General features: G+C 41.1%; 1 long non-coding RNA gene across 1 annotated transcript; it reads left to right on the top strand.

Annotated features, from left to right (window-relative positions):
* The first annotated feature begins 539 nt into the window (after nt 1-539).
* On the top strand, nt 540-7,765 carry LOC124903953 (uncharacterized). The gene is made up of 3 exons (XR_007065668.1): nt 540-808; nt 1,313-1,822; nt 6,369-7,765. It is a non-coding gene; the product is annotated as an uncharacterized LOC124903953 (long non-coding RNA).
* The last annotated feature ends 13,757 nt before the right edge of the window (nt 7,766-21,522 follow it).

The following is a 21,522-nucleotide window of genomic DNA, read 5'->3' as shown; positions in this document are numbered from 1 at the left end:
CAGGAACAGAGGGAGGCAGGTGGAGAATAACTCACCAGGGAGGGGTTTCCCTGCTACAGCTTTCCAGGGCCATTTCCACTTTCTGGGTGGCATTTTGGGGCAGCTCACACAGTACACCCACATAGCCAGTCCCCAGGGTCACAATCCCCAGATGTTGTTCATCTTGGTGACAGGCCCTGTGCTTCTCCAGGAGCCTTTGTGTATGGGCCCTTCCCAGGTAAGCGTGATATGTCCTGGCTGTCGTCAGTCCAGGGCACTGCCAGCATTTTCCTTTCTGGTCAGGGTCAAAGTTTTGTTGACCATCTCCAGGATACGATGGCCAGCTGGCCCTTGGAGAGCCAGTCACTCCAGGTGACACGGTTTGGTACTGGACGTCCGCGGTCCCCTCTCCCACGCCGCCCCATACTGGGCCCCGTATCCAGCCGCCACCGCTGCTGCAGCAAGAACCGCCCCACTGCCTCCGCGCAGCTGCCATTGTTTAAAGGGACCTCAGCCTGACTTCCAGGAGCTACGCAAGACTTGGCCAAGTCAATGCGCATGCGCGAGGAGCGAGCCGCTTCTCCCCATCACAGCGATTCCCAGGGTTGTCATAGAAACCACTCCCTGGGGCTTGGCAAAGCAGGAGCCCTCCGTGGCAGGGCTTCGGTGTCGGGGCTCCGAGGCTCCGGCCTGACTTCTCCACGGGGTCCACAGGAGCGTCTCCGGATGCCAGGACCTGAAATGGGCCGACCAGGATGAGGAAACCACAGGCAGAGGCCGGGGAAGCAGCGCGGCATCCCATCCTCAGGCCTGCCCGGACGGTGTTCGGGTGAGTCTCCCCAAAAGTCGTGCCCCCGTGATCTGGAGGACAGGTCTGCTTGTGTGTCCGTGGGCTTCTCTCTCACCCGAGGGTCGTTCGCGTGGAGAGCAGAACCCTGCAGCCTCAAGGATTGCCTGCTGCCTGAGGTGGGGGTGCTTCCATGACACCGCTGTATGACCGTGTGCGTGTGTGTGTGTGCGCCATTCTCTTCTCTCTCGCTGTCTGTCACTCTCTATTTCTTTCCCTCTCTGTGTCGGTTTCTATGTGTGTGTGTGTGCCCTTGTGCGTGTGTGTTTGGACGAATGTGCCCTGTGCGTCAGAAAGCGATTTCTTGCATGTCGGTCGGTCTTTGGTGAGCCTCTTTCTGCGTCTTTCCCTGGGTCCTGTGGCCGGCTGTCGATCGTTTTCGCGGCGGTTCCGCTTTGGGTCTGTGAAGGCCTCGATCACCTGAGGGGATGCGTCTGGCCGGAGCAATGGAAGTCTCATCCCCATCCTGAGCGGCCTCTTTTCTAGGATCAAGAGGACCACACTCCAGCCCAGGACAAAAGCCCCACGGTAGCACATTGTCCGGCAGGAGAGGAGCAGACCCACGTCCAAGAAGATGGTTGTACCTTTCCACGCCTCTTCTCTGCGAAATGAAGCCACACCATGACACAATCTTGAAGAGGAAGCCGGGAATGGGAGACGGCAACAATCCCTGTCCCTGGAACGCTGGCCTCTATGGACAAGCCACCCGCTTCGCACCCCTCCCCTTATGCCCGTGGCGGTGGCACGGCGCCGTATCCTGCCTGGGCTCTGGCCTCTGCTCTGTCCTCCCTCTTCCACTGTCTCCCCTGTTTCTCAGCGGCCTAGATGCCTCTTGGTCTGGCTGAATATCTTCTATGAAGATCACTTCCCCGTCCATCAGGGAGACAATTCCTGGAGATTCGTGTCATGACTGTTTCTCTCTCCAAACCTGTTTCTGCTGGATTGCGCAGGTCTGATGACCCTGGAGCTCTTGGCTTCCATACGTGTCTCAGACAGGTAAGCTTCCTCGGTCTCCATGTTTCACCTCATGGGTGGGTGGATTGCCTAGGATGAGCGCTATGCCACCGTGACTGGCCTTGTCTTCTAGGACAAGTGCATTTCCTCTGCACTTCCTGTCTCATTCTTGAGAAACATCCTCCCCTCTGCTCGTGGGTGGACTGACTCCTTGAATCTTTTGGCTGTAAGGAACGTCAGGGATCCAATGGTACTGGGCTGGGGCTGGAGCTGGATGCAGGGGAGGTTCCGTCAGAGCTACCTGGGCATTGGAGGATTGGGGGTGGATTGAACTTTGCAGAAACTTCTTTACTCCTCCAGCAGGCTTTTCAAAATGTGGCTTGGACTCATGCAATAAGAAATTTAGGAGTTGAAAGGGCCCCTTTTTCATTGGCACTCTGGTTAACATTGCTTCAGCACAATCATATGATAGAGAAGCCTTATCAAATTTGCTGTCCCTCAGGGCTCTTAAAGATGCTTGATAAATGATTAGGGAAATAAGAAAAAAATTGAAAGGAAAAGGAAGTCCAAGGACCTGCCCCAGAAGAATCACAGATATGTTTGAATACTTAGTCGTTATTTGCCCCAGATAGAAAATGTTTTTTAATCAAAAGGCAAAAGTTATAATGAGGAAGATAATATTGCCTGGGGCAATGTTGAGACAAATAAGATGAAGATCAACCAAATGCCCTGAGTCCTTTGGCCCAAATCCCTGCTGGGGACCCAAATACTTTTGATATAGCATCTTGCTACCTGAGGAATGCAAGGAGAATAATACTCATAAGCAAAGAGCCTCTGTTTTCCCATAGGACTGACTCTAACTATGTGAAGAACTGCTACATATTCTACAGTGCTTGATAGGCGGTTCCCATCTAACAGGAGCTGTTTGGCTTGTGGATAGCAGTTCCAAGATAAACAAATGACATTGTGTTTGAAAGCCACTGCTCTTATTAAAGAAGAGTCAAGCAAATGTTTTTATTTTGAGTTATTTATAGTTTAGAAAAATTGGGTGAAGTGTGTTTTTGTGAGCAAGTTTATTTTTCTCTAGGTTATCCATAATTTGAAAGCTGTGAGTATTCTGATTAGGTGACAATATAGTTATTTGCTTAAGTACATCTTTTATTGTAAAATGGGACAAATGGAGACACTGGTTATTTTACCCAGGCTTTGACTAGAATAACTTAATTTTAGGTAAATTCCAACAAACCCAACTTAAGAGGAGCCTATATGACCAATTAATTGTTTCTGCACTTTAAGTGAATACTCAGGCTGTACTAGTCCCTTCTCACACTGCTATAAAGATATTACCTGAGACTGGGTAATTTATAAACAAAAGAGGTTTAACTGACAGTTCTGCATAGCCGGGGAGGCCTCAGAAAACTTACAGTTATGATAGAAAGGAAAGTAGGCACCTTCTTCAAAAGGTGACAGGAGAGACTGTGTGTGTGTGTGTGTGTGTCTGTGTATAAAGGATAAAATGTCAAACACTTATACAATCATCAGATTTCATAACTCACTATCATGAAAACAGCATGGGTGAAACAACTCCCATGATACAATCACCTCCCACCAGGAGGGATGACAATTTGAAATGAGATTTGGGTGAGGACACAGAGTCAAGCCATATCACAAGCCAACCATAATAAGCCTAAAACTTATTTTTCACACAAGTTGTTCTCACTATGACTTCTCTTTAATAAAAAAGGAGAGCTAGAGAGAGACAGAGAGATTGCTTCAAGGGAAAAGGGTAATGCTTGTTAATAAATGTCAGCCCTGGCTTTTATTTTATTGAGTACAAATTGAATCATAAAATTTTTCTATTTTATTTTATTTTCCTTTAAGTTCCAGGATACATGTGCAGAATGTGCAGGCTTGTTAAGTAGGTATACACGTGCCATGGTGGTTTGCTATACCTATTGACCCATCCTTTAAGTTCCCTCCCCTCACCCCTCACCCCCCAACAGGCCCTGGTGTGTGCTTTTCCACTCCCTGTGTCCATGTGTTCTCATTGTTCAACTCCCACTTATGAGTGAGAACATGTGGTGTTTGGTTTTCTGTTCCTGTTTTAGTTTGCTAAGGATGATGGCTTCCAGCTTCATCCATGTCCCTGCAAAGGACATGATCTCATTCCTTTTATGGCTGCATAGTATTCCATGATGTATATGGACTACATTTTGTTTATCCAGTCTATCATTGTTGGGCATTTGGACTAGTTCCATGACTTTGCTATTGTAAATAGTGCTGCAATAAACATATGTGTGCATGTGTCTTTATAGTAGAATAATTTATATTATTTTGGGTATATATCCAGTAATGGGATTGCTGGGTCAAATGGTATTTCTGGTTTTAGATCCTTGAGGAATCGTCATACTGTCTTCCACAATGGTTGAACTAATTTACATGCCCACCAACAGTGTAAAAGCATTCCTATTTCTCCACAGCCTGGTCAGCTTCTACTGTTTCTTGATTTTTTAATAATCGCCATCCTGACTGGTGTGAGATGGTATCTCATTGTAGTTTTGATTTGCATTTCTCAAATAATCAGTGATGTTGAGCTTTTTTAATATGTTTGTTGGCCATGTAAATATCTTCTTTGGAGAAGTGTCTGTTCATGTTCTTTGCCCATTTTTTGATTGGGTTGTTTGTTTTTTTCTTGTGAATTTGTTTAATTTCCTTGTAAATTCTGGCTATTAGACCTTTGTCAGATGGGTAGATTGCAAAATTTTTCTCCCATTCTGGTGTTTGCCTATTCACTGTGATGATAGTTTCTTTCGCTGTGCAGAAGCTCTTTAGTTTACTTAGATCTCATTTGTCAATCTTGGCTTCTGTTGCAGTTGCTTTTGGCATTTTTGTCATGAAGTCTTTGCTCATGCCTATGTCGTGAATGGTATTGCCTAGGTTTTCTTCTAGGGTTTTTATGGTTTGGGGCTTGACATTTAAGTCTTATGTTTAAGGTTTAAAGTCTTAAGTTTAAGGTTTAAGGAAGGGTTCCAGTTTCAATTTTCTGCATATGGCTAGTGAATTTTCCCAGCACTATTTGTCGAATAGGAGATTCTTTCTTCATTGCTTCTTTTTGTCAGGTTTGTTGAAGATCATATGGATGTAGATGTGTGGTGTTATTTCTGAGGTCTCTGTTCTGTTTCATTAGTCTATATGTCTGTTTTGGTACCAGTACCATGCTGTGTTGGTTAGTGTAGCATTGTAGTATAGTTTGAAGTAGTGTGATGCCTCCAACTTTGTTCTTTTTGCTATTCGGAAAAATTGAAAAGGAGTGACTTCCCCCTAACTCATTTTATGAAGCCAGCATCATCCTGATACCAAAATCAGGAAGACACATACACACACACACACACACACACACACACACACACACTTCAGGCCAATATCCCTGATGAACATCGATGCACAAATCCTCAATAAAATACTAGCAAACCGAATTCAGCAGCACATCAAAACACTTATCCACCACAATCAAGTCAGCTTCATCCCTGGGATGCAAGACTGTTCCACCATGCACAAATAAATAAACATAATCCATCAACATAAACAGAACCAAAGACAAAAACCACGTGATTATCTCAATAGGTGCAGAAAAGGCCTTTGATAAAATTCAACACAAATTCATGTTAAAAACTCTCAATAAACTAGGTATTCATGGAACATATCTCAAAATAATAAGAGCTATTTATGACAACCCTACAGCCAATATCACAGTCAATGGGCAAAAGCTGGAAGCATTGCCTTTGAAAAGTGGTACAAGACAAGGAAGCCCTCTCTCACCACTTCTATTCAACATAGTATTGGAAGTTCTGGCAAGGGCAATCAGGCAAGAGGAAGAAATAAAGGGTATTCATATAGGAAGAGAGGAAGTCAAGTTGCCTCTGATTGCAGATGATATGCTGTTATATTTAGAAAACTCCATAATCTCAGCCCCAAAACCCCTTAAACTGATAAGCAACTTCAGCAAAGTCTCATGATATAAAATCAATGTCCAAAAATCACAAGCATTCCTTTACACCAACAATAGACAAGCAGAGAGACAAATAATGAATGAACTCCCATTCACAATTGCTAAAAAAATGAATAAAATACCTAGAAATACAGCTAACAAGGGATGTGAAAGACCTCTTCAAGGAGAACTACAAACCACTGCTCAAGGAAATAAGAGGACATAAACAAATGGAAAAACATTCCATCCCCATGGATAGGAAAAATCAATACTATAAAAATGGCCATATTGCCCAAAGTAATTTATAGATTCAATGCTATTCCCATCAAACTACCACTGACATTATTCACAGAATTAGAAAAATCTACTTTAAATTTCATACAGAACCAAAGAAGACCCCGTATAGCCAAGATGATCCTGAGAATCCTGAAAGTTTTCATAGTTATAATAATCTTCTAATGAGTACAAGATTATCATTTTTCTTCATATTTTCAGTTGGTGACCTAATGAAATAGGGTATTTTTTCTCTTTTGACACACAAGTACTCTTCTGATGGTCAAAATATTAATCTTATTTATCTCTCCTTGTTTCACTTCAAAGGAAACCAGAATCATGGCATTCTGAAGATTAGAGATGCAAATCTCCATTATTTGGCATCCCCCTGGACCCGATCTGTTTTTCATTGCAAATGTCCTACTGCTAAGACGATGCAAGCACCCTCCCTCTAGGCCCAGAGACTGTTTCAGAAGAGATGGGTGCATGAGATTGTAAGGGCTGGTTTTGAGGGATACAGTTAGCTGAGACACTGCAAATCAACGAGGGTACACAAGTGCCTAAACAGCTTGTAAAACAAAGAACTTTGCTTTCTCAGCTATTACGTGGCACCTTTTTATCCACCCCAACCATGAAAAATGTCCTGCTTCCTGGAATTAAAAGAAAATAAGAGGATAAAGATACCTCATGGCCAAGCCTCCTGGGCATAATACTCCCAGTTATAAGTTTTGCAGATATATATATTTAGATATATAAAATTATTTTTTAGAAAAATGTATATGTTTTGTATAGTTAATCACTGTAAGCCTATAATTAAAACCAAGATTATAGTAGCTCAACGCATAGAAATGAAAGAAAACTCAATTTTTGTAAACTCGCCATTGGCTTTTTGTTTTTGGCTCTTTACTTTAAATAAATCTTTTAAGGGGTAATGAATGCCTGTCCGAGTCCATTCCTATCTTTCCTAGAACACTTACTTGTCTGTAAGTATTTTGACTTCAAGTCCCTCCACCACAGGGAGTCTCACTGAAGGACAGGATGGACACAGGGCAGGCAGATATGCCACCCAAGCAGTGCTAGGGGGAAAAAAAATTAATAGCCATTGATGCTGATGCTGGCAAATATTGGCCATAAAGGGAAGAATGGAAACCAAAAATAAAATTCTAAGCCCTTCAACCATCTGAATGTACCCCTCCTCTCAGCCATAGGGATTCCAGAGTGAAACTGAAAATCTTGTTCAGGCCATGATGGAAGAGAGCATTGGACATGCCTCATTATATTTCTCCAGCATTAACATCAACGCAGACCTTAAGACATCAACATCAAACCTAAGATTCTGATCAGAAATATTTAACATCTATTTTCTCTGAAGCCTGCTACCTGGAGGCTTTATCTTCCTGATAATATCTAGGTTTCTCCAACACCTTATCTTAACCCAGACATTCCTTTCTACTGATAATAACTCTTTCAACCAATTGCCAATCAGAAAATTTTAAAATCTACCTATAACCTGGAAGTCCCCACTTTGAGTTGTCCTGCCCTTCCAGAATGAAACAATATATACCTTACATGTATTGACTGATGTCTCATGTCTCCCTAAAATGTGTAAAACTAGGCTGTGCCCTGACCATCTTGTGCACATGTTCTCAGGGTCTCCTGAGGGCTGTGTCATGGCCCATTGGTCACTTACATTTGGCTCAGAATAAATCTCTTCAAATATTTTAGAGTTTGACTCTTTTTGTTGACCAGTCACTCCCTAGTAAGTTTAGGAGCAGGGATCTGACAGCAACCATATCATGCTCAGAAACAGCATTCTCTCATCCACTGTCCCCAGGCTCTGCAGAACCCAGGGTCCTGGTATCCATAACCCAAGGAAATGGGAAGGAGTCATGAGCTCTTGGGCTTTCTCATTCTCTGAAAATGGGCAATTGATAACTAGCCTTGATTTTGTTTAGAAGTATAAATAAATGTCACATTTCTAAGCAAAATCAAGTCTAGTTTCAAATGTGTGAAAGGAAAATAGAAACTTGGGACCCCAATTCACTCTGCCAAAAGGAGAAAGTTAAGCTGAAAGCTGAGTCATGCAAGAAGCTGACTTTCTTTTTGCTCCTAAGCACACAGCTCCAGATAGAAGGTTAAATATCCCCACAGGTAGGTGCTCTGTCCTCATCTTACCTTATGTGAAGTGCTGATTTACTGAGCATAAGATGAATACAAAATTGACTATTCCCCTGCCTTATCCTTTTCTTTTGCAATGTGTGGATTCAGTAATGTGGCCATACCCTTCCTCTTTCCCCTCCAGCATACTCTTCCCCTTTAAATATTGAAGCCTCAGCATCGTCTTTGGAGAAAGGCACAGACCACAGATTGTTTATATGATTCTGTGTTTTTTCCTTCCAACTTGTCCTTAATCTTGGCAAAATAAACTTCTAAATTGATTGAGACCTGTCTCAGATACTTACTCGTTTATGAATATTAGAAGCAGTTTGTGTTCTCATCGTGTGTGTGATTACAGCTATCCCTTGTTATCCAACCTTTTACTGTCAAGCTCAATAATTGAATAAAATCAGATAACTTTTTAGGTGAGTCCCTTTCTATATAAACTCTTGCTATTCATACTGGAGCTACATTCATTTGGATAGTGCTCTCCCTCCTGAGTCAAGCTTGGTGCTTGACTCTCCCTATCCAAATCAGAAGCCAAATAGACTTGAAAGGTTCAGGCAGTCAGTGTACACAGAACATGCACCGAACTTTTTGTTTAGCCATTGCTAGTTATCTCTAGTAGGTGTAATAATGAGAAATGTTTACTTTTCAAATACACTGCTGTGGTGTTTTAATTTTTACAAGCTAAATGTTTAACGTTTACATAACTAATTTTTATAAAATACACCTGTTGCTGGATACCTCTTGTCCCTATCTTGATAACCATCACCCAGATTTGCAAAGGAGGCCTTGCTCAAATATTTGGAAACTAATGCCCTCAGGGAGATGTCCACCAGCCTTGTTCCTCTCATTCCTATTTAAAGATTGTGATGTCATTGGGTCTTTCCCTAGGGTGGCCCCTGGTTTTCCAGGCTGGACACTCCTGTGTTGAAGATGCATCGACTCACGTACTGCATAAATGTTTTAGATTTTACTGTGAAGCAAACAATTCACTCCTCAGACCCTCAGTCACCCAAGTCCACATCTGGACTTGAGGTTTGGCTTCTCTGGTCCTAACTGGGACTTATCTGACCCTGACAGGAGATAACTTCAGTAGGGGCTTTCCCTAATAGCAAGCATGCACACTTCGACTTGGCTTGCCCTGAAGGTAACATTTACTCATTATAATGGTAAAAAAAAAACACGCCCCTGGGTGGAGATTTCAGACATTACTAAGACGTGTGATATATGTACTAGCGTGTATGACCATACAGCATGTGCACCCAGGAGACCACCCAAAACATGTTTGCTAGTAACACCCCTTCACAACCACTTTTATGAATAATCATATAAGACCCTCATAAGGGAACTTTCCCAGTGCAGATCAACGCTGTCTCTTTTTCCAAGCAGCCCGCTCTGACTTGGCTTTTAGAGGGTACTCTCTCTTTAAATAAACTCTGCAGCTGCTTCACTGTCACTGCTTACTTCTTGGCTGAATTCTTTCCTCCAAGAAGACAAGAACTGAAGACCCCACACCTCCCGGTAACATTTCCAACTCTTTCTCCTTTTTCTCTGGAGCTGGTGCTCAGATGGTGAGAGCCCTGTGCTAATGGTCCCAGGGTGGGAGCCTGTTTGCCCCTGTCTGGTCCTCAGCAATGTCCTTGGTCAGCTTCCTGGCAACAGCTGTCAATTACCAGAGGGAACAAGTGATCAGCACCAGAGTCGATCACTTCACAGAGGAGCTGAAGTGGACAGGGTCAGCTCAGGCCTCCTGGACCAGGGCGGGAATGTCCCGTGATGGCAGGCCAGTGTCTTAGCTACCTTGGAGGCACCTCTTCATAGACTGCAGGGATCATTTAGGTAAAAATATAGCCTGCTGATTTTTACACCTTTCTGAAAATCTTTGCTAATAGCAATCTGTTAGCTGTGACAATTACCGTTATTTTTTATTTTTCGTTTTGTTCCTTATTACTGAAGATATTCTATGGAGCTTTAAAGCCTCCTGCAGTAAGAAACTAGTAAAGAAACATACTGTTTGCAGGAAGGAAAATTACCCACAATTCTTGTTCTCTAAGGTGCGTGGTTATCATTCCAACAGCCATTCTCAGCAATGAACTGAGGACCCTCAGATGTGTTTCATTCCCTTAGTATTTTAATCCTCTCCTCCACTCTCAATTGCCACTTTTCCCATGAATGGGGGGAGAGGGGTTGGGAGGGACATCTCCTGTCTTGGGCCCACAGATTTTAAAGTTCAAGTCAGAAGCTCCAGTGATTTCCTGTGTGTAGTAGTCAGGGGCAAGTCAGATGTGTGGTTGGTAGTCTTTCCTTCTCTGTTGGGGCTTCATGGAGTCCCAGAACTTTGAACCTGAAGTAGTGTCAACAGCCATGTTGCAGCTGGAGTCAGGCCAAATGTTGGTCTTGCTCCCTAGTGACTGGGACACTTGGAAGAGCCAAATTGGCAGGCTTGGAGAGCGTGTACTTTTGGAACTCAAGTGTATCTTAAACCATTTCATTGCAACTACGTGTGTGTGTGTGTCTGTGTGTCTGTGTGTCGGGAGGATGCATAACAGCCTCACTGAGGGGTGACTGACATATAATAGGAGGACTTGTGCACCCGTGAAACCATCACTGTTATCAAGACAGCGAGCATGTCCATCCCCCATAGGTTTTCTTGTGCTCCTTTGTGATCTCTTCCTCCTGCCTCTCCTGCCATGCTCCACCCCAAGCAACAACTGATCTGCTTTCTGTCACAATATATAGATCGGCAAACTAATTATAATACCAGTTCTAACCTCATCAGGCAAATACTTTCTTTTTGTAAGTTGGACTTTTCATTGTGTGTTCAACATTCTTGATTCAGAAAGAGTGAGAGAGAAAGGCTGGTGTGGGCCCCTCCTGGGAGGCCTGGCCCTATCCACAGCTCCAGGGTGGCTCACATGCCCTGGAGCCCCTGCCCACAGGACAGCCTTGACTGCTCATCCACAAGCTTTGTGGTATCCTCTACCATTCCTGGGCAGGCTCTGTACAGTGCAGAACTTTCTCCCAGTCCTTGCACCAAAATAACAAATGTCAGAGATAGTACATTTGGAGCCAGTGGCTGTGCCCTCACCTCTAGATGCCTGTAATACTGAGCTGTTAAGCAAGAGGTCCCTCCCTTCTTGCCCTTTTCTTGGGGCCTCATCCCTTGTGCTCTGCTCTTCCTCACACAGGATATATCTTCTGATTGCTCCTCTCCCACCTCCTGCAGTCCCTGGACCCCCATGGCAATACAGACTCTTCTATATCCTCAGTCCATTGCAGGACCACAGCTCTGACCTGGCTGTCCTCTGTTTTCCAAGCCCTGCACCTGTGGAGTTGGGAATTAGCACCCACCTGACCCCATTGTGGCATCAGGCCCACCCTCCCCAATGCAGGAAGAGTTCCAGATGTCAGGGAGCTATGGCCTTATCCTGCACACATATCATGTCCTGGCCTGGGAAAGTGATGATGATGATATTTTCCCACAAAATAGACAATAACATCATGAAAGTGCCTAGTTCATTTTCTAGCATAAAATATATATCAAAGCAGTGCGGTTTAGTAGGCATATGTAGATTTAAAAGCTCCTCAGAAGGCAGGGAATGATTTCTTCAATAGAAAAAAAAAAACTACCCCAAAAGGAGAAGATCAATACATTGGATGATAGTAAAATTAAGAATCCCTCAAGAAATTCAATAAGAGAGGGAAAAGATTAGTCACCAATGGGAAATATATTTGTCACAATATAACAGGCAAAGGACTCATGTCCAGAGTGCATGAAGAATTTCTACAAATAAAATAAAGAATCCAACAGAAAAATGAACAAGAGAAAGGAATAGGAACTTCATTTTTTAAAAAAAGAAAAAGGAAGTAAGGAAAGACAAATGAACATCCAAATGGCCAGAAAGCATATAAAAATGTCCAACCTCATAAAACGTCAGACAAATGTGATCCACAATGAGAAGCCAATACACACCGACCAGCATGGCTAAAATTAAGAAGACTGTTAATACCAAGTGTTGGTGAGAATGTGAAGTAACTGAAACATTTATACACTGCTGGTGGAAATGTGAAATAGCACAACTACTTTGGAAAATTATTTGGGAATACTGCTAAAGGTGAGCACCCCTACAATCCTGAAATCCCACTCCGATGTGAAAACCCAAAAGAAATGCATCCTGATAGAGGCACTCTTCATAGTAGCCAATGTTAATCACGGAAGAATGGACAAATATATATTATATCATGGAATTTTTATGGTAATGAAAATAGATTAATAACTGCCATGCACAGTTGGTGAATCTCACCAACATAATATTGAGTGAAAGAAACCTGATACAAATGAATGTGTGCTACACTATTTCATTTCCGTGAAGCTCCAAAACAATCAAAACGAACCTATAGCGTTATAAGTCAGCATAGTGATTATCTTAGTGTTTGCATGGGAGCTCTGGTAATGTTTTATTTCTTGATCTAAGGGCTGGTGTCCCAGATGTGTTCACTTTGTGATAATTCATCAATCTGTTTTCTTGGGATTTGTGGCTTATCTGTACAGATATACTTCAATTAAAAAAATCATTCAACTTGACAACAACAAAAAAAACCTCGATTTTTTAACATTTTGTGGAGTGTTTATTATGATCCAGTCAGCGTACTAAATACACTATTTTATTTGATCCTTAAAATAACTTAAACAACTTGATTTAAATATGGGCAAAGGACTTGAGAAGACATTTCTCCAAAGAAGATATACAAAAAGCACATGGAAAGACCCTTGACATCATTAGTCATCAGGGAATGCAAATGTAAACCAAGGTGGGATACTACTTCACACATGTTAGAATGACTATTATCCAAAAATAAAACAAACAGAAAATAACAAGCATTGGCAAGGATGTGGAGAAATTGAAACCCCCATGCATTGTTGGTGGGAATATAAAATGGTGCAGCCGCTGTGGAAAACAGTTTGATGGCTCCTCAGAAAACCATACACAGAATTAACATATGATCCAGCATTGCCACTTTCAGGTATATACCCAAAACAATAGCATGAAACACATAAAGAGACATGTTCATAGCAGTATTATTCAGAATAACTAAAAGGTGGAAGCCATGTTAAGTGTTCATTGACAGATGAATGGATAAGCAGAATGTGGTATATCCATACAATGAAATATTATTCAGCTTTTAAAAGGAAGGAAATTTGATACATGCAACAACATGAATGAATCTTCAGGACATTGCTTTCAGTGAAATAAACCAGTCACAAAAAGACAAATGCTACAAGATTGCAATTACATGGATACCTAGAACAGTCAAGTTCATACAGACAAAGTAGAATGGTGGTTGCCAGGTCCCAAAGCCAACATAAAGCAGCGGTTATGGACAGCTTCAGTTTCAGCTGAACTTGACTGTACGTTATGCTGAAACCAGGGTAATCTGATGTCCAACACTCAGAGCCAGTTAAGACTTTTGTTTCTGGTGACCTGGGGAGCTGACGGTGCTTTTCAGGCACACCAGGGGTGACTCTTATTTCCCAAATGGGTTGGCAGATTGTTGTGGGTGCCAGGTCTCTGATGGAATGGATCTAGACACGAATAAATAGCCTGCTGGATTTTGATTGGGATTGTAGTCAATCTATATTGAATCTGTGTTTTAAGAGTATAACCTCTTAACAATATTGAGTCTTCTCACTCATGAACAACATATATCTCCCCATTTATTTATGGCTTCTTTAATTTATCATAGCAATGTTTTACAGTTTTCTGTGTACAGGCCTTTTACATTTTTTGTCAGATTTGTTCCTAAGTACTTTACATTTTTCATGCTATTGTAAATGTTGTTAATTTTTTTATTTTAATTTCTTTCTTTTTTACTTGACAAATACAAATTTTATCTATTCATAGTGTACAATATGATATTTTGCAATATGTATACATTTTGGGATGGTTAATCCAACCAATAATACATGCTTTACATTTTAATTTTGAATTAAGTTACAAAGCTCTCATTAAACAATTTTTGTACACTAATTTGTCCTAAAACCTTGATAAACACACTTATTAACTTCTTGTACATTCCACTGAATTTTCTACACAGACAATCATGTCATCTGTGAATAACGACCATTTATGTCTTTCTTTCCAAACTGAATGTCCTTTATTTCTGTTTCTTGGCTGATTGCACAGTCTACAGCCTCCAATACAGTGCTGGATAGAGGTGGTGAGGGCAGGCATCCCTAGTGTGTTCCTGATGTGAAGGGGAAAGTATTCAGTCTTCCACAATCAAGTGTGATGCTAGCTGAAGGACTTTTGGAATTGCCCTTTATCAGCGTGAGGAAGTTCCCTCTGTTCCTATTTAGCCTCAGTTTTTATCAATAATGGATGTTGGATTTTGCCAAATGTTTTTTCTGTATTGATTACGGTGATCATATAATTTTTTAGTTTGTTTATGTGGTAAATTACATTGATTTTTTTTTTATTCTTAAATCAACCTTGCATTTCTAGGATAAATACCACTTAATTATGATGTATTACCTTTCTATTATATTTAGGATTCCATTTGCTAAACTTTTGCATAGAATTCTTGCCCTATGTTCATGAGGAATATTGGTCTGTAGTTTTGTTTTCTTCTAATATCCTTGTCTGGCCAGGGTACAAGGATAATTTTGGTATCAGGGTAATGCTGACTTCATAGATTGAGTTGGGAAGTATTTCCTCCTCTTCAGTTTTCGGAAGAGTTTGTGAAGTATTGTTATTACTTCTCCCTTAAATGTTTGGTAAAATTCACTACTATCACCATCTGGGCTGGAATTTCTTTATAGGGAGGTTTTATGTTATTCTTTTTTTTTTTTTTTTTTTTTTTGAGACAGAGTCTCCCTCTGTCACCCAGGCTGGAGTGTAGTGGTGCAATCTTGGCTCACTGCAGCCTCCACCTCCTGGGTTCAAGTGATTCTCTTGCCTTGGCCTCCCAAGTAGCTGGTATTACAGGCTCATGCCACCATGCCTGGCTAATTTTTTGTATTTTTGTTAGACAAGGGGTTTCACTGTGTTAGCCAGGATGGTCTCCATCTCCTGACCTCATCCTGACCTCATGATCCACCCACCTCAGCCTCCCAAACTGCTGGGATTACAGGGATGAGCCACAGAGCCAGGTCTTTTTTTTTTTTTTTTTTTTTTTTTTTTTTGAGGGAGAGTCTCGCTCTGTCGCCCAGGCTGGAGTGCAGAGGTGTGACCTCAGCTCACTGCAACCTTGGGGGAAGCAACCCCTGATAATTCAATGTGGGTCCTTTTCTATTTTCCCTAAGTGTCGGCCAGTCTGAGAAATAAAGGGAAAGAGTACAAAAGAGAGAAATTTCAAAGCTGGGTTTCCAGGGGAGACATCATATGTCGGCAGGTTCCATGATGCCCCCCAAGCCACAAAAGCAGCAAGTTTTTATTAGTGATTTTCAAAAGGGGAGGGAGTGTACGAACAGGGTGTGGGTCACAGAGATCACATGCTTCACAAGGTAATAAAATATCACAAGGCAAATGGAGGCAGGGTGAGATCACAGGACTGGGGCGAAATTAAAATTGTTGAAGTTTTGGGCATGCATTGTCATTGATAACATCTTATCAGGAGACAGTGTTTGAGAGCAGATAACTGGGTCTAACCAAAATTTATTAGGTGGGAATTGCCTCATCCTAATAAGCCTGGGAGTGCCACGGGAGACTGGGGCTTATTTCATCCCTTATCTGTGACCATAAAAGGCAGACGTTCACAGAGCGGCCATTTCAGAGACCTCCCCTTAAGAACGCATTCTCTTTCTCAGGGCTGTTCCTTGCTGAGAAAAAGAATTCAGTGATATTTCTCCTATTTGCTTTTGAAAGAAGAGAAACATGGCTCTGTTCCGCCCGGCTCTCAGGCAGCCAGACCTAATGGATATCTCCCTTGTTCCCTGAACATCGCTGTTATCCTGTTCTTTTTTCAAGGTGCCCGGATTTCATATTGTTTAAACAATTTGTGCAGTTAACGCAATCATCACAGGGTCCTGAGGCGACATACATCCTCAGCTTATGAAGATGACAGGATTAAGAGATTAAAGTAAAGACAGGCATAGGAAATCACAAGAGTATTGACTGGGGAAGTGATAAATGTCCATGAAATCACAATTTATGTTCAGAGATTGCAGTAAAGACAGATGTAAGAAATTATAAAAGTATTAATTTGGGGAACTAATAAATGTCCATGAAATCTTCACAATTTATGTTCTTCTGCCATGGCTTCAGCCAGTCCCTCCATTCGGGGTCCCTGACTTCCCACAACACCCCCCATCCCAGGTTCAAGCAATTTTCCTGCCTCAGCCTCCCAGGTATCTGAGGTTACAGGTGCCTGCCACCATACCCAGCTAATTTTTGTATTTTTAGTAGAGATGAGGTTTCATCATGTTGGCCAAGCTGGTCTTGAACTCCTGACCTCAGGTGATCTGCCTGCATCAACCTCCCAAGGTGCTGGTGCTGGGATTAAAGGCATAAGCCACTGTGCCTAGCCTATAGGGAGGTTTTAAAACAACACTTTTCATCATTTCTAGGCCTTTTACCTAAGATCAAGTGTAAAAAACGATTTTGAGTTTCTTTAATAGATACAGGGCTATTCAGGTTATCTGTTTCTTCTTGGGTGACCTTTGGTAATTTGTCTTTGAAGAAATTTGTCAATTTTATCCGTGGTGTTGAATTTAATTGGCATAAAAGTATTCCTAGTATATTGAGAGAGGGCTATTAAAATATCTGATAGTTATGCATTTTCCTATTTCTCTTTGATGTTTTATTAGTTTTTCTTTTATTCATTTTGAAGCCTTATTAGGTACAAAAACATTTAGGATTGTTATATCTTCTTCACTGACCACATTGTCAGTATGAAATAACCTTTAATTCCTAGAAATAATTCTTTGCTCTGAAATCTATTTTGATATTAATATAGCCACTCTAAATTTCTTTTGACTAGTTTTAGCATGGTATGTCTTTTTCCATCTTTATACTTTGAACCTATTTGTGTCTTTATATTTATAGTGCCTTTCTTATAGGCAGAATATAGTTGGGTCTTAGTTTTTCAATGTAATTTGACATTCTCTGCCTTTTAGTTGGGGTATTTAGACTATTTACATTTAATATGATTACTGATATGATTAGGTTGAGCCACTCACCTTGCACATGTTCTCTATTCATGTCATCTGTTTTTTATTTCCTTTTTCCATTTTCCTTTGAATTAATCAAGTATTTTTATCGTACCATTTTATCTCATTTTATCTCTCTTGTTAAACGGCCACAATTCTTTTTTTTTTTTTTTTTTTTGAGATGGAGTCTCACTCTGTCACCCAGGCCAGAGTGCAGTGGTGCGATCTCTGCTCACTGCAAGCTCCACTTCCTGGGTTCACGCCACTCTCCTGCCTCAGCCTCCTGAGTAGCTGAGACTACAGGCACCCACCACCACACCCAGCTAATTTTTTGTATTTTTAGTAGAGACAGGGTTTCACCGTATTAGCCAGGATGGTCTCAATCTCCTGACCTCATGATCCACCCTCCTCAGCCTCCCAAAGTGCTGGGATAACAGGCGTGAGCCACTGTGCCTGGCCTACAATTCTTTTTTTTTAAATTGTAAACCTTAAGATAATACATTTTATTTGAAGAAAGGTGCTGAAGAGGTGTTATTTGTGTAGGGTGTTAAAATAATGGTAAGCTATGAGAAGGGGAAAAGGGCATTTGAGGCTAAGGAGTTAGTATGAAAAAAAAAAAAACAGACCAGTACACATGGAAATGTTGGTGTAGTTTTGTACTGGGGTGGTTAGATTTGGCAGTCGCTGAAGCTAAGTATGTAGGCAAAGACTGAATGAGAGATGAATCTGGAATGGCAAGTTCAAATTAGTCACTAGAAGACCTCAAACCATCCCCTCTACAACCCCAGTTCTGTAGATATTGAAAGAATGGTGGACCCGGGGCCCACTCTCTCTGAACTTGACTCCTCACTTCCCTATGAAAGCTGGCTTTGCTCTGTGCCCTGTGATATATATCTGTTTGTCCCCACTTCACAAAAGTATGAACCTTGTCTCTGTTTTACCTCCAATGCCTAGAAAACTATGTGGCAGAACGCATGCTTCAGTAAATAATCTTTTAATCACTGAATATTTCAAGAATTCCACATAATTCTATATGACATTATTAACTATTGTAAATTTTTAAGTGGAGAAAAAGTACTATGTTGCCTTTATTTCATGAAAGCAACCTTAAGAGTTGGCATGAACGCATCTATCCATCCACTTGTATTTGTGCTCATATACTCATATGCCACTTACTATGGATGAATGGAATGATCTATCATCTAAAGTCAATATTTCTTTTTCCTAACTTCCAATCCAAGGACATTATTCCAGAAATACTTCCTTGTATTTCCTACATTATCAATTTTGCCCTCTCTGTGGATGATTTCCATTGGCATGCAAACATGCTATTATTTTTTCTCATCTTATAGAACATTAAACACAGTGATCTTGACTCTACTTCCTCTATAATTACTTGCCTTTTCTCCATTCCTTTTTTGAGTGAAGCTTTTTGAAATTGTTGCCTGTGCTTACTGCATTCAACCCCTCTACTTTGTTCTCTCAGAAATCCCTTTCAGTCAAGCTTTCTCCTTATCACTTCACCCAAAGGACTCTTGTGAGGTCATGAGGGCTAGCCACTTTACTAAATCCAATGGCTGATTATCAAGTCTCATTTTATGTCAACTTTCAGCAGCATTTGATAAAGTTGGCCACCATTTTCTTGAAATAATGTTTTCCTTTGGCTTTGTGAACATCATACTCTCCTTTACTGGTTGCTTTTCAGTTTTTTTTTTTTTTTCTGCTTCCTCTTTACCCTTCTTTATTTTTATTTCAATAGGTTTTTGCGGGGAACAGGCAGTGTTTTGTACATGAATAAGTTTTTTAGTGGCAATGTCTGAGATTTTTGTGCATCCATCACCAGAGCAGTGTACACTGTACCTAATGTGTAGTCTTTTATCCCTCGACCCCCTCCCACCCTTTCCCCCAAGTCCCCAAAGTCCATTGTATCATTCTTATGCCTTTGCATCCTCATAGCTTAGCTCCCACTTACGAGTAACAATATACAATGTTTGGTTTTCCATTTCCGAGCTACTTCACTTGGGATAATGGTCTCCAATTCCATCCAGGTTGTTGCAAATGCCATTATTTCGTTCCTTTTTATGGCTAAGTAGTATTCCATGGTATGTATGCGTGTGTGTGTGTATATATATATACACACACACACACACATATATATACACACATACATACATATACACACATACATACATATACACATATATGCCACATTTTCTTTATTCACTCGTTGATCGATGAGCATTTGGGCTGGTTCCTTATTTTTGCAATTGTGAATGATGCTGCTATAAACATGCATGTGCAAGTATCTTTTTCATGTAATGATTTATTTTCCTCTGGGTAGATAACCAGAAGTGGGATTGCTGGATCAAGTGGTAGATCTACTTTTAGTTCTTTAAGGAATCGCCACACTGTTTTCCATAGTGGTTGTATTAGTTTACATTCCCACCAACAGTGTAAAAGTGTTCCCTTCTCACCACATCCACACCAACATCTATTTTAATTTTTTGATTCTTTTATTATGGTCATTCTTGCAGGATTAAGGTGGTATCGTGTTGTGGTTTTGATTTGCATTTCTCTGATAATTAGTGAAGTTGAGCATTTTTTTCATATGTTTGTTGGCCATTAGTATATCTTCTTTTGAGAATTGTCTATTCATGTCCTTAGTCCACTTTTTGATGAGATTGTTTGTGTTATCCTGAACAGCTACAATTCTTTGGCTTGTTATTTTAGTGGTTGCTTTAGTGTTTATAGTGCATGTCTTCAACTGATCACAGTCTACCTTCAAGTGATAATATATCATTTTAGTATAAGAAACTTACATCAGTATACTTCTTCCCTCCTAGTCTTTAAGCTATGACTGTCATCCATTTTATTTTACATGTTGTAAATTCCATAGTACTTTATTATTTTTGTTTAAACAATTATATTTTAAAGAGGCTTAAGTAATAATAACAAATCATATATTTGTCCATGTTGTTACTATTTCCAGTGTTCTTCATTCCTTTGTGCAGATCTAGATTTCAATATGGTATCCTTCTTAAGGCCTAAAAGACATCCTTTAATTTTTCTTGTGGTGCAGGTCTCCAGGTAAGAAAGTCTTAAGTCTTTACAAGTCTAAAAATGTCTTTATTTCTTCATATCCATTATTCTCTTTTTGGTAGTATCTAGTTGGCTGTGACACTAATCCATTAAACTTTCCATTTCAATTATGGTATTTTTCAAATCTAGATTTCTATTTGGTAATTTTTCCCAATCTACTTGGTTATTTTCATACTCATGCTCTTTAATCCCCTTGTTTCTTTACATGTAAGACACACTTTATGTGATGTTTGGTGACTCTAATATCTTAAGTCTCTGTAGGTTTTCTCCTCTGTACATTGTTTCTGCTGGCTCTTGCCCATTATAAATGTTTGTGATTTTTGATTAAAAACTTACATTCCATGAAGCTGTCTTCCATTTTGCTTTTGCCAGGCACCTGGAAGGCATTAAAAACCTGATGTCACTTTAAATTTGCAGCTTGAGACTTTTTAGATTATACAGTTTGTGTGTGAAGCCACCAGTGGAAGGGCTGCCCATGGTTATATATTAATGTATCCTCACTCTCAGGAGGGATGTTTTCCCTCAGGATGGATAATCTTGTCTGCTGCTCCAGGGGCTGCAGGGATTGAGGGGGCAGGAGACAGGGGAGGCAGACAGGTTGATTCATAGTTCCCTCCTACACTAAACCTATCTTTTTGGTGTCCTACTTTTTTTTTTTTTTTTTTTTTTTTTTTTTTTGAGACAGAGTCTGGCTCTGTCGCCCAGGCTGGAGTGCAGTGGCGCAATCTCGGCTCACTGCAACCTCCACCTCCCGGGTTCACGCCATTCTCCTGCCTCAGCCTCCCGAGTAGCTGGGACTACAGGCGCCCGCCACTACGCCCGGCTAATTGTTGTATTTTTAGTAGAGATGGGGTTTCACCGTGTTAGCCAGGGTAGTCTCGATCTCCTGAATTCGTGATCCGCCCGCCTCAGCCTCCCAAAGTGCTGCGATTACAGGCTTGAGCCACCGCGCCCGGCTGGTGTCCTACTTTTGATGTCTTCTGCTAACCGTCCTACCTTGGACAGGATCTAAACTTTGTCTGCTATTCTGCTGCCCCATCCTCTTCCCAGACTATGAAAAGAGAGTTTCAG

The sequence above is a fragment of the Homo sapiens genome, chromosome 17, assembly GCF_000001405.40.
Source record: "Homo sapiens chromosome 17, GRCh38.p14 Primary Assembly".
Classification (NCBI taxonomy): Eukaryota; Metazoa; Chordata; class Mammalia; order Primates; family Hominidae; genus Homo; species Homo sapiens.
Note: the sequence above shows the minus strand (reverse complement) of the source record. Positions and strands in the feature narration are given on the sequence as shown.